Here is a 12,419-nt window from a genome sequence, read left to right as displayed (position 1 = left end):
GGCTGGCAGAGCTGCAGATGGGATCCTGGAAGGGATGGAGATTGGGAAATCTTTACAGCTAAGACTGGCTTTTAGACTTTGGGCAAAAGGCTCTGAGAACTATCACAGCCTTGGAAATGGAGGCTATTAGAGTGGTAGTTCTTTATTGTAAATAAGAGACCTCATGAACAGGCTGAAGTAAATGAGGAGGCAGAATTACCCCACGTCACAGGGATGGCAAAGCTTAGAGCAATTCCAGATGCCAGGGAAACACTTCAGGACTGAGAAAACGGCTCGTAGCGTCATCTTTGTTTCCGTGAGTCAAAACAAAGAGCTTAGATTTCAAGGCATTAGAGTGACTCTTCCTCCTGCTCTAACCCCTACCTCCCATTTTATTTCTGGTGAGGTGAGGATGCTGTTTTCTATCTTCTGGTTGGCAAGAGGACATGAATTATTTGGCAGCATTTTAAGGCATGATAATACGGCTGTTGGCAGCACTTCCTCCTTGAAGTTTAAATCCACTCTAGCAAATTCTGATGTTCTCGAATGCTCAGAAGACATGCCTGGAAGCCTACGTCAGGCAATTACACATAAAAGCATGTTTCCCTTTTATAGATGACATCAAAAATACCATTTAAAAAAAAAAAGATCCAGAAGCACTCAATGTCTGTGCCTAATACTGAGCTTTGAATACTACAGGTGTCCAGAAAGTATCTGCTGAACCCACAAAAATGCACTGATCCTCAAGCAGGTAGCTTGTCTCTCTTCCATTCTCTCGGTGGGGCCAGTGGAAGGCAGGAAGATGGTGTAGGAGATCAGAACCTCCCATTGTGGGGTGTGGTTGTGACAAAGACTACTCAGAGCAAAGTGCCTCCCATGCGTGATGATGTTCCCTCTATCGGCTACATCAGCAGGAATTTCTTATACTAGGAAGAGATACACATCATTGCAAGAGACCTGGACTTTGAAAGAATAGCTTCAACTCTCCGAGATAAGACAGCATTTCTGATATGAGTACCTGGGTTTGAATTCTGTGCTCTTACCTGCTAATCCTGAGTTGAAAACCACTGTGGGTGAAGATGTTCCAGGCAGCGGAGGTGCAGAGGGAAGGGGAGGTGCTAAGGGAGGAGCTGGTACAGTCTCAGCTGCAGGGCCTGGGAGAGGAGGAGGCGGAGGGGGCGGTGGGGGAGGAGGAGGTGGAGGAGGGGGCGGCGGCGGCGGTGGCATAGGTGGTGTTACTGGACCATTTTGCACTAGCAAAGAAAAAAGAAACAGATGGACTTTGAAAATACGGGAATGGCTTTCCTGCAATAAGCCATGTGCATATAAAGCCATCTGAAAACAACACACTTAAAAGGACAAAGGACTGTTTTCAAAAACCAAAAAATGTCCTCATTGACATGTGGGAAAAATATTTCAACATATGTGAAATGAGGATTTATAAATTTAATCTCAAAATGTAAACAGTTAAGAACTACTCAAGAAAACCAATTCTTAAAGAACATGCCAACAAAAACGGACAAAGGACAGAAGTGGACAGTTGGCAAAAGAAGAAATACAAATATTCCAAAACTTCCTCAGTCCTCCTGCCAAGGCTTCTTACCTGTTTCAGGTGTGTCTGATGAGGGAGGCAGTGGTGGTGGAGGAGGGGGCAAGGGTCCTGAGGAAGCGGCCCCCATTGTGGGTCCCACAGAGTTACCTGCTACCACTTCTGACCCCATGGACAATGTGCCAGAAGCCACAACTGGCAGTATGGCGATATCCCCATCCCCTTTCTTCTGAATTTTAATGGTCCCTTGTTTCTCTAGCTCATGAATCTTTTTTTCCAGGGTAGACTGTCTTTGAATTGCTTCTTCTTTTTCTTTGACCATTTTTCTTAATGTGTGAACTTGAGTATTTGCATCTTTGTAGATTTCCTGCAATAAAGTCCAAGGTCAAGAGTTTATCTTCACATAACATTCATACTTAGTAGCATCAGATTGGCAAACTGAGGATAAAGAGAAAAAAAGATACTCATATGAATGGGAATTCTTTGGAATTCAGCTAGAACCTATAAAGTCCCATTAATTATTAGTTGTATGCTAGTAATGCATGTAATATATTCTAGCTATTGTTGTTGGTAATGAAGTTCTTTCCATTTAATAAATGCAGCTAACTCAATTTTCCCTGCAGGTGGAAAGAAACAGAGCAGAAATGACCCGGAATGCTGACTCTGGAATCTCCTGAGGGTGTTCTGGTGGTGCATGTTTTCCTTCCTTTTATTTTAACATTCATTTGTAACTCTTAGATACACATATCAGCTAACAATAGACAAAAGGGCCCTAAATCAGACTTGGATACAAATCAGACTGGGATTAAAAATCTGCAAAGCATGGAATAATCTACTCATGAGTAACCAGGGGCTGACTGTTTCTGAATGGCTTTCTCTGGCCCTCACAACGCCCCCTTGACCAAGCTCAGGATAGCGATTGTTGTAACATTTTCCCATCGGTAATGCGGTTAACAAAACAGGCCAAAGCTTCCCTTCACTAATTACTTATTTCTGTCTAGCTTTTTAGCAGAAAACAAAGAAGTTACAATTTTCAATTCAAAGACTGTCCTGGTTCCTTTTATAAGGGGGGGGCCCATAGAGGTTCTAGTGAAAGGGTTTTATGGAACTGAACTTCCTTGCTGGGCCTTGTACAAGCGATCTCTCACCACAAACCTCCAGCAAGCAGGGAAACATTCTTCACACCCTGTCTATTACTAATAATCTAAGAGTCTGAAGTTGAATTGAGTCCATATGCTACAACTCTGTCTCGAAGGCGTGCCAGAAAATATATTTCCTGGACTGAACTGTAGGACATGTCAGGATATCAGACACACACAGACACGATAACCATCACATAAAAGGTGCAATTTCATTAGCAGTGGTGTAAAGGCAAGCCATTTGCCTTAAAGCTCTCCAGGCATTTTGGTGTTCTTATGTTCAGCACAATTCCAAGCACAGGGATGGCACTCCATAAATACCTGGCACATAAGGTAAACAATACTAAGGCCAAATAAAATAGCTGGGATTAGCTGATAATAAAATGGATTGGGTTTGCTTTGCACATCCCCTCCCTTTTTTTGGTGAATGCCATTAAGCCTAGCCTGTGTTGTATTTCACTGTTTACACAGCAACCACCAAATCTGGTTTTGAGTGGAAGCAAAGCAAAAAAATACAAAGAAGCTCAAGTCCTAATAAAAATAAATAAGTGGCATGAATTAAATCCATGCTGTGTTTTTATTTCCAACCAAATGGGTGTTCCACAGAATTAACTCAGCCTCCTCCAGATGGGAAAACACTGTTGCTCCCAAAATCTGTGATAAGGAAATACTGAACCCCCAGTATCTGATTGCACACACATGTGTATACATAACGCCGACTATGTGTAGTTTTCAACTGAGCATCACCTCTCAAAGGTTTCCAATAAATATGCTGCATCAATGCATTCCTCTGAAATGAAGGTACTCTGCGTTCCACTGGACGAAAGCTGGAGTACATTCCCTACCGTGCCCATCTGGGCAGTTGTCATCATTACACTTACCCGAACGACATCCAGCTCCTTGTTCCTCTGCATGAGTTGCTTTTCCAGTTCCACAATCTTGGACATGGCTTCATTCTCTGTGTCTTGCAGTTTTTCAGATAACTGTAAAATTTTGAAAAGAAAGCTGTCACAATACAGGATCATCTTGATCAGCCCTCAGTTCTCAGAAAGTGCAGCTCCAAGATTATTAGGGACCAGGGCCCTGCATGTGTTCCGCAAGTTGTTTTCTGGAAATGGTAATGTTTATAATATGGTTCTGAATACATATTTGCTTCTACCAGGAATTGATAACTTAGACATGATTCTTAATAAGACCCACATGTCTGCTCCTTAGTGTTCAACATACACAGTGTGCCTCCCTCCATTTCTGCAGGGGCTAGCAAGGGTAGAGGAAAGTAAGGAGAAAGAGGAGGGAAAGTCCACCTCCATCCCCCACTCCATGCCAAGAAAGGGCCATCAGCCTAAAGCTTTTGAAAATTGGTAACACAGTAAACTTGGTTCTTTCAATCTAGGTAGCCAGTTGAAAAACAACTACTGCTTGGTTTGACCAAACTATGCAAGTAATAAAAGTTGGTTGCCACGCCTGTAATCCCAGCACTTTGGGAGGCCAAGGTGGGCGGATCACCTGAGGTCAGGAGTTTGAGACCAGCCTGGCCAACATGGTGAAACCCCATCTCTACTAAAAAATACAAAAATTAGCCAGGTGTGGTGGAGTACACCTGTAATCCCAGCTACCAGGGAGGCTGAGGCAGGAGAATCACTTGAACCCAGGAGGCAGAGGTTGCAGTGAACCAAGATCGCGCCACTGCACTCCAGCCTGGGTGACAGAGTAAGACTCTATCTCCAAAAAAAAAAAAAAAAAAAACCCACAAAAATAATAATAATAATAAAAGTTATTTGGGGGAGGCCATTCAAATAGATTGCTGCTACAAAAGTGGACATGTAAGTATGGTCATGCAATGTTGGCTGAGGCTTCAGGAGAAAGACAGGGTGAGCCATGTGTTAAACAGCTGCTTTTCACATAGGGCTCTAACACTGAGCAACTTCTGATTTCTAACATCTCCTTTAAATTCATTACAAGTAAAGAAAACCAGGGAGGCAAGGTAAGGAGGAAGAGTGGAGATTTACACTGATTGGGTTCAGCATATAACACAAATCTTCTAAGGGAAGATATACTGGGCCTGTAAAATTCTCTTTTTAAGCGGATGCCAGCTGGGTCATAGCGGCACTTTTAAAGGGAGGGTTTTTGGCTCACCAACTTGGCTTACCCACAGCCATGAAGAGACCCATTTTCACAGTGATGGGGAAAGGTGAAGGAAACTGAGCATATGCAGCACTCTTTAAAAAACATGTGGAGAAAAATAAATGAACTGTTCAAAGGAGAAAATAATAATCCTCCAAAAGGAGACACTTCATTTCATAATCAAGGAAAGTGCTCACCAGACTCACCAAAAGAATTTGGTCTTCATAATGCTTGGGTTTTTGAGAAGCACCATTTTTCTGTTAATTCTTTTACTACTGAAATATGTGGTTAATGAATGAACAAATAATCTCTAAAGGCCCTTAGAGTCATATTCAAATCAGTCTATGGCAAGAAAAATCCCTCAAAGAAAAATGAGACCCTGTCCTGTGATAGAGCTGACAACGATACTGAGGACATTCTTCAAAGAACAGGATATATGAGAAAGCACACCGATGTCCTTGAAAATGCCTATTGTTGAAATGACTCTATTAAGAATTTGAGTACCGTAAGACAGGAATGTTCAGACATGCATCACAGAGACACCAGCTAATCCTGTCCATGGGTTTGTGTGGACATAGTTGATAAGAAGATACCTCTTCGCCTCAGGCCAAATTCTCATATTTAATTTCCCTCTAATCATTTACGTAATGCCAATCATCAAACACCCCCACTCTGCTTGAGCCTGTAAGCAAGACTGCCAGGAAATGCACCTCAGCAGAAACTGAGCAGGTAAGTGAGCTAAAGCAAAGCAACAGATTCTATTTCATTTTACATAACACATCTGCTTTTTGGAAAAAACACAGAACAGCTTCTGATAGCTCTCTCTTGCAGGGTATGGCCTATTCCTATACTCCAAATCCTTAAATTTACCACCATAAAAGCTGACATTAATTCTGCTTTGCAACCAGCTGAAATGTAAGCAATTTTTCCTTTTCTGAGATATAGTTACATGAGAAATGTTTTCTTCCAGTTCTTCCACCCTCTCCAAGGCAGCATTCTTAGTTTCAGCATCTTCCAGTAGAGCTCCTACATCAAAAACATTGTCCAGGTAAGCCTGGATCTGGACTTGAAGCTTGTCACTCTCAGTGTGTTTCAGCTTCTAAAAACCAGAATAGGAGAGAACGTGGTGTTAGCTCATCTATGGAAATAGAACATCATTTCCTAAGAGTCTGTCTTTTTTGTTTTTTGTTTTGTTTTGTTTTGTTTTGAGATGGAGTTTCACTCTGTCACCCAGGCTGGAGTGGAATGGTATGATTTCAGCTCACTGCAACCTTCACCTCCTGGGTTCAAGCGATTCTCGTGTCTCAGCCTCCCAAGTAGCTGGGATTACAGGCACGCGCCACCACACCCAGCTAATTTTTGTATTTTTAGTAGAGACGGGGTTTCACCCTGTTGGCCAGGATGGTCTCGATCTCCTGACCTCGTGATCCACCCGGCTCAGCCTCCCAAAGTGCTGGGATTACAGGCGTGAGCCACCACACCCAGCCAGTCTATGTGTTTTCTTTTCGACAAATAGTCCAGCCCTTTCCAAGAGAGCTTAACATGTCATCTTCCTTAAGAGAATTATGGAGTGACTGCCTAAGCAGTATCATCAGATGACTTTCGGGTGAATACGCTCTCCCAAATGCACACACATTTTCCCCCAAATCCTTACTGCCCCATGTAGTTATATTCCTATGTAAAACATTTTGATATACATGAAATTGGGACAACAGAAAAATTAAAAGCAGCTTTAACAGGTTATAGTCATGGCCACATAAAACCTGAGGGGTATCTGTGTAGTGGAAAAGACTGGAGTGTTTGGTATCTTACCTGGTTAGTTACAGTGGTTCCAGTAGGGGAAGAAGGTTAGGCGAGAGGTGGGGCAGACACTGACAGAGTTTATACTTAGCCTTGGGGATTATTTTAGCACAAATTGCTAGAGCCCAACCTCCACACATCCCTCCCTAAGTCAGTATACAGCATGAACAGCTCAGGGCTCCCCAAGGCAGATCAGAAAGCTTTCCCCAATTCACTGCCTCCCAAACTAGGCATCCTGCAGGGACTCAGCTAGCTCTGGAAATTAGAGGTCAAATAAATCAGTGAATCTTCCCTACAAGTAACATAAGTCATGACTTTCCCTGGGGAACAGATGAGTGATTAGAATAATACCTGGTGCATGGATGATGCCAATCAACATTTATTGAACAAATCAATGGCTACTTACAAGGCTGGGTTTTTGTAAACTAGTGAAGCATTTATATAGCATACATTTACATTACTCTTCTAACCACCTCTATTAGGTTCCAGAGTCAACACATGATGAAGTTAAAGAAATACAGAGTTTTGACAAAAAATCTTACATTTTTAAGAGAAATTCCACTCTACATAAATTTTCAGAAAAATGGATTTTCCCCTAGGTTTAATCTGGAATTCTACAATACAGCTTATTCTGAAGAGAGAGTGTTCTGTTTTCATTTATGAGTCACAAGTGAGAATGGCTTCTAAATAAGGGCAAAGGCTAGAACAAAAGGAGAAGCAGCTTAATGGGATTTTTCATGAGATTCACAATGAATAACAGGTGTTCAGTGATAAGTGGGTACCTGCCGTTATATTCTACAGCATAAACAAGCTCTGCTCAGACACCACAAAACCAAACCCAAAACACCGCTAGGAATTTATACATCCAATTTTTGTTCAAATACTGATACTTTTAGAGCATAGGAGAAAAAGGGATAGACAAACCTTGATCTCAAAGTAAGAAAGAGTCTTTCTGTACAATATTCTGCCAGTGATATAAATGAGCCTTTAAATAAAAAGGAAAGCAATTCAAACAACATTTTAATGGAAATCTATTACGCCTCTCCCTGAGTAGTCTTTAGACAACAGTAGGCCCATCTATTCAAGGGCAGCCCAGCCAGTCTAGGAAGCAAGGCCTTCAGGTTGAGAGTAACCACCTCTGTGATTCCGTCTCCTAATAAACTGAGGGTACAGTCTGTGCAATCCCTTGGGTTTATCTCTAACAAAGATGGGCAACTGAATTCCTGAGATGCCCAAAGGAAGTACTTCTATATTCTTCACAGCTGGAAACAGGCTTGAAATTCAGGTCACCGGCTGGGTGCATTACTTGAGGCAGGAGTATGAGACTAGCCTAGCCAACATGGTGAAACCCAGTCTCTACTAAAAATACAAAAATTAGCCAGGCATAGTGCCTGTAATCCCAGCTATTCAGGAGGCTGAGGCATGAGAATCGCTTGAACCCAGGAAGCAGAGGTTGCAGTGAGCCAAGATTGCACCACTGCACTCCAGCCTGGTTGACAAAGTGAAACCCTGTCTCAAAAAAAAGGAAGGAAATTGAGGTCAACAATTCTTGCTCTATCACTAGACCATTCCTATACAAAAGGGAAAACAAAACTGCCTGGATCCTCAGGTCCACTTCTTTTCCGTTTTAGACACAGGGTCTCGCTCTGCCACCCAAGCTGGAGTGCAGTGGTGCAATCACAGCTTGTTGCAGCCTAGAAATCCTGGACTCCAATGATCCCCCCACTTCAGCTTCCCAAGCAGCTGGGGCCACGGGCACATACCACCACACCTGGCTAATTTTTTGGTGTTTTGTATAGATGGGGTCTCACTATGTTGCCTAGCCTGGTCTTGAACTCCTAGGCTCAAGTGATCCTCCACCTCAGCCTCCCAAAGTGCTGGAATTACAGGTGTGAGCCATCAGCCTTTTCAAGACCATTTCTGATTTTCACAAGTTTCTGTTTCTTAACTGAAGAACTTCAGGGAACTGGCTAAACTCTTCTGCAAGGGAGTGAGAAAAAGGGAAACTTTAAACCTCCTTCTCCTAAGAACTAAAAGTGGAACTTCTAAAGCCACAAACACTTGAAGCAGAATTTAGCAGCTTCAGGAGGAAGTCTCTGGTGTCCATTTCCTCATTATTTTTTTTTTATGCTCTAAGCACTGACTCATCACTCTACAGTCTTGGCTTGACTTTCTCTGCCCAGATGGGGTCCCCGGAGTAACCAAGAACACAAATTGCCCAATAGCCCAGATGAAGGATGCAATGAGACTTGACCCAGATGAAGCTCAAAAGGAGAGGAAAGCTGCAGCAAGGCTGCAAGAGGTTATCTGACTCCCGTACTAAAAGGCTGCTAGCAGAAGATGACCTGAGATCCCAGGAGCCCTGCAAGAATCCAGCATCTCTGGCAGAGTACATCACTCAGCTCAGTTCCCTTTAACTAGCACTACAGTAGTTGACTGCATAGAGCTTTAGGCATTCTTTAGCTGCTATGGAAGCGTACCTTTGAGGGCAGGCAATAATAAGTCAATTCTTATATTGGAGCCAAAGGTCACAGCTATACTCACGTCCAAGTATTCGTCCAGGCCTAATTTGGTAAATTCATACTGCAGGTGAACTCTGAAATTCATATCTTCTACTGAATGGACTACAATATTAATAAACTGCATAGAAGCCACCTGAAATGAAATTGTCAAGGGGTTAGATGGGCTCCAAACTTTTTTCTCAGTTTAACTGCAGACATGTGCTTTCAATTTCATAAAAAAGGCTCACTTACCGATTTCCTTTTCCTTCATTTCATTGGTTCTTTAAAAATATATATATGGTTTTTTTTGGAAATGGAGTCTTGCTCTGTCGCCCAGACTGGAGTGCAGTGGCATGATCTCGGCTCACTGCAACCTCCGCCTCCTGGGTTCAGGCGATTCTCCTGCCTCGGCCTCCCGAGTAGCTGGGATTACAGGCAGGTGCCACCACGCCCAGCTAATTTTTGTATTTTTAGTAGAGATGGGGTTTCACCATGCTGGCCAGGCTGGTCTCAAACACCTGACCTCGTGATCCGCCGGCCTGGGCCTCCCAAAGTGCTGGGATTACAGGCATGACCCACTGCGCCCGGCCTCTTTAAAAATATTTTATACTTATTTTTAAATTCAAAAGTCACAGAGGTACCACAATAAGACACCACTTCGCACCCACTCAGATGGCTATAATAAAAAAGAAATACAGTAACAAAAGTTGGGAAGGATATGGAGAAATTAAAACCCTCATCCATTGCTGGTGGTAATGTAAAAAAGGGTGGCCACTTTAAAAAGTGTGACTTTTACTCAAAATGATAAACACAGCATTATCATATGACCCAGCGATTCCGCTTCTAGATATACAGTTAAGAGAAATGAAAATATACGTCCACATAAAAATCTTTACACAGATGTTCAGAGTAACATCATTAATAACAACCAAAAAGTAGAAAGAAGCCAATGTCCATTAATCGATAAACAAAATGTGGTATATCCAAACAATGGAATATTATGAAACCATAAAAACCAATAAATTACCAACACATGTTACAACGTGATCTTGAAAACATGTTAAATGATAAAAACCCGTTATAGAAGACCACATGTTGTGTGATTCCATTCATACAAAACATCCTGAACAGGCTAAACTATTGAGATAGAAAGCAGGTTAGTGGTTGCCTAGGGCTGAGGGTGGGATAAATGGGAGGGACTGCCAATGGGTACAGGACTTTTTTCTGGGGGGGTGACGCTGTGTCCTAAATTGTGGTAAGGATTGTACAGCCCTGTGAATAGGCTAAATAGGCACTGGATTATAAATAAATTGGATGAATCTGATGGTATGTTAATTATATCTCAGTGAAAGTCATATAGGTATATAAGATAAACTGTGGAAATTATTATAGTTATGTTGTACAAAATGTGAAAATTATTACAAAGAACATTTTTTAAAGAAGAACATTTAAATCACCTACAATCTCACCAAAAGGTAACCACATCTAAAAATTCCCTGTGAACTCTTCCCTATCAACAGGATAGTAACAGATCCTTGACCCATCTTTCCATATAATCAACGAGTTTGCATTCCCTAAAAGCCTGGGATTTACTGCTTTCTCCCCACAACTTCACCACTGGCCCTGAGACCTGCCAAAGAGAAAACCTGTCCCTGGTTTGGTAAATAAAAGGACAGCATTCAACAGATCTATTTTGCTTTCCACAGTGACTATCAGTCTATTTATGGTGGAAACATCTTACTAATGCTTTCCCTCCATGGCTGTCACCCAGGAGAGTCTCTGGCAAGGAGGGAATATGATTGAGGGATGCAGAGTCACACTTATCCTGAGAACCACCTTATTCCTTGTCTCTCTCCAAACCTAATTTCCTTTATCTTTTAAAAAATTTTTTTATCAAGTTAGATTCTTCTTTGAAGATATGGTATACATTGGATATCTTTGGAAGATGTGTAACCTCTCTAGCTTACAAAAGGACTCTACTGCAACTTACTAAAAAAAAATAAAAAAATAAAAATCATCTCGGGTTCTATCACTAAATGAGCTTTAAAAAATATATCTTTACAAAGGCATGTACAAAATACAAACTAGAAAAATATTTTTTAAAGAAACAAAATGGTTTTTGTTTTCTTTTGTCCACAAAAAAATACAGAAAAAGGGTAGAAATGTCTTATACTACATTAGAAAAATTTATATTATATGTTATGAGGAATATGTTGTTTCAGAGGTTGTGCAACCTAATTGCATTCCCAAGGCAGTTTATCAAAAGCCTCATATTCTGGAGAGAAAACATGGTTAGATTCTGGCATCTTTCCATTTCTCTTCGGAAAACAGGTCTAAATGATCTACTGAGTTTTATGATATGCCTAAGAGGCAACTATCTGAAGGTGACACATGAATCTAGCACATAGAACTTGTGTAATAGCAGCCTCTAAATAAGGTACCTCATTGCATGTATATGTGAATAAACGAACTGACAGAAAATGGAACCTAGTTTGTGTATGGATAGTACAGGTGTTTTAAAGGGCTTTATATAATTGTAATTTCAGCAGAAACTCAAATGGCAAGGAGGTCTGGCAGGTATCATAAATGAGCAGGCTGGGCTGTGTGTCACGCAAAGGGAATGGTGTGGACTGTGACAAACTAGAGAGGACATCTTTGGACTAAAGCAATAGGGGCTGCTTGGCTCCAGCAGCTGACACTCTGCAGGAACAGGGGCCTAGTGTTCTCAAATATTTTCAGTTTCCAAGCAAATCAGATGTGTATTTTTTATGCATCATGTCCAAATTGTTTAAGTAGGGTCATCACTGTCAGACTGAACTCATAAGCCTGTAGGTTGGCTTTAGCATGAAAGCCTACAGTTTGCAACCTCAACTCTAACAGAATGAATAAGTTCCCCTAAAAAGGCACAAGAAAGAAACTCACATCATGAGACAAGGCACCAATCTCTTTACGTATTTATCACCAGGGCCAGCATCAGCCTTAACTTCTTTAAAAAATCCTAATAACAAGATTTTAAAAGTCAGTGTAAAAATGTCCCTTGTTTCATATATGTGTGTGTATATATATAAAGTATATAGACACATATATATACATATATATGTATATATATAAAGTATATATATATAGACACACACACTTTGAAAAGCAAATAACATGCTTTATGCAACAGAAAATCTTCTCTATAAAGGATTTCATCTTTCTCACTGGTTTTGGAAGGGGCTGAGGGCTAAGACGCATATAAAACTTGAGGACTCCAAACTTTTTTTTTTTTTTTTTCTTTTTTTTTTTCACAAAAAGGGTTAGAAATCTGCAAAGCTATGTTTCATG

The 12,419-nt window shown here is 41.2% G+C and overlaps 1 protein-coding gene across 14 annotated transcripts in view, besides 2 other annotated features; it reads right to left on the bottom strand.

Annotated features, from left to right (window-relative positions):
- The window catches only part of FMNL2 (formin like 2), a 314,653-nt gene that overhangs the window by 29,086 nt on the left and 273,148 nt on the right, over window positions 1-12,419 (bottom strand). For all 14 annotated transcript variants that reach the window (XR_241279.5, XM_011510531.2, XM_011510533.4 and 11 more), the window contains 5 exons: window positions 9,136-9,246; window positions 5,741-5,890; window positions 3,549-3,650; window positions 1,583-1,895; window positions 1,023-1,232 (listed from right to left, as the gene is read on the bottom strand). Coding sequence is in view for 13 of the 14 variants with exons in the window: in XM_011510531.2 (XP_011508833.1) it covers window positions 1,023-1,232; window positions 1,583-1,895; window positions 3,549-3,650; window positions 5,741-5,890; window positions 9,136-9,246 (886 nt within the window). In the remaining variant the exon portion in view is untranslated. The remainder of the gene's footprint in view (window positions 1-1,022; window positions 1,233-1,582; window positions 1,896-3,548; window positions 3,651-5,740; window positions 5,891-9,135; window positions 9,247-12,419) is intronic.
- Window positions 1,325-2,524: an enhancer, noted in NCBI's record as "BRD4-independent group 4 enhancer chr2:153474731-153475930 (GRCh37/hg19 assembly coordinates)". NCBI's record gives its function as "activates an origin of replication core promoter dependent on BRD2, P300/CBP, MED14 and CDK7 cofactors, and independent of BRD4, by STARR-seq in HCT116 cells {active_cell/tissue: HCT116}" and the evidence as "EXISTENCE:reporter gene assay evidence [ECO:0000049][PMID:35650434]".
- Window positions 8,360-8,439: an enhancer, noted in NCBI's record as "active region_16649". NCBI's record gives its function as "activates an Ori minimal core promoter by ATAC-STARR-seq in GM12878 lymphoblastoid cells {active_cell/tissue: GM12878}" and the evidence as "EXISTENCE:reporter gene assay evidence [ECO:0000049][PMID:35858748]".

The sequence above is a fragment of the Homo sapiens genome, chromosome 2, assembly GCF_000001405.40.
Source record: "Homo sapiens chromosome 2, GRCh38.p14 Primary Assembly".
Classification (NCBI taxonomy): domain Eukaryota; kingdom Metazoa; phylum Chordata; class Mammalia; order Primates; family Hominidae; genus Homo; species Homo sapiens.
The sequence above is the reverse complement of the archived record's forward strand: the minus strand, read 5'-3'. Positions and strand labels throughout refer to the sequence as shown.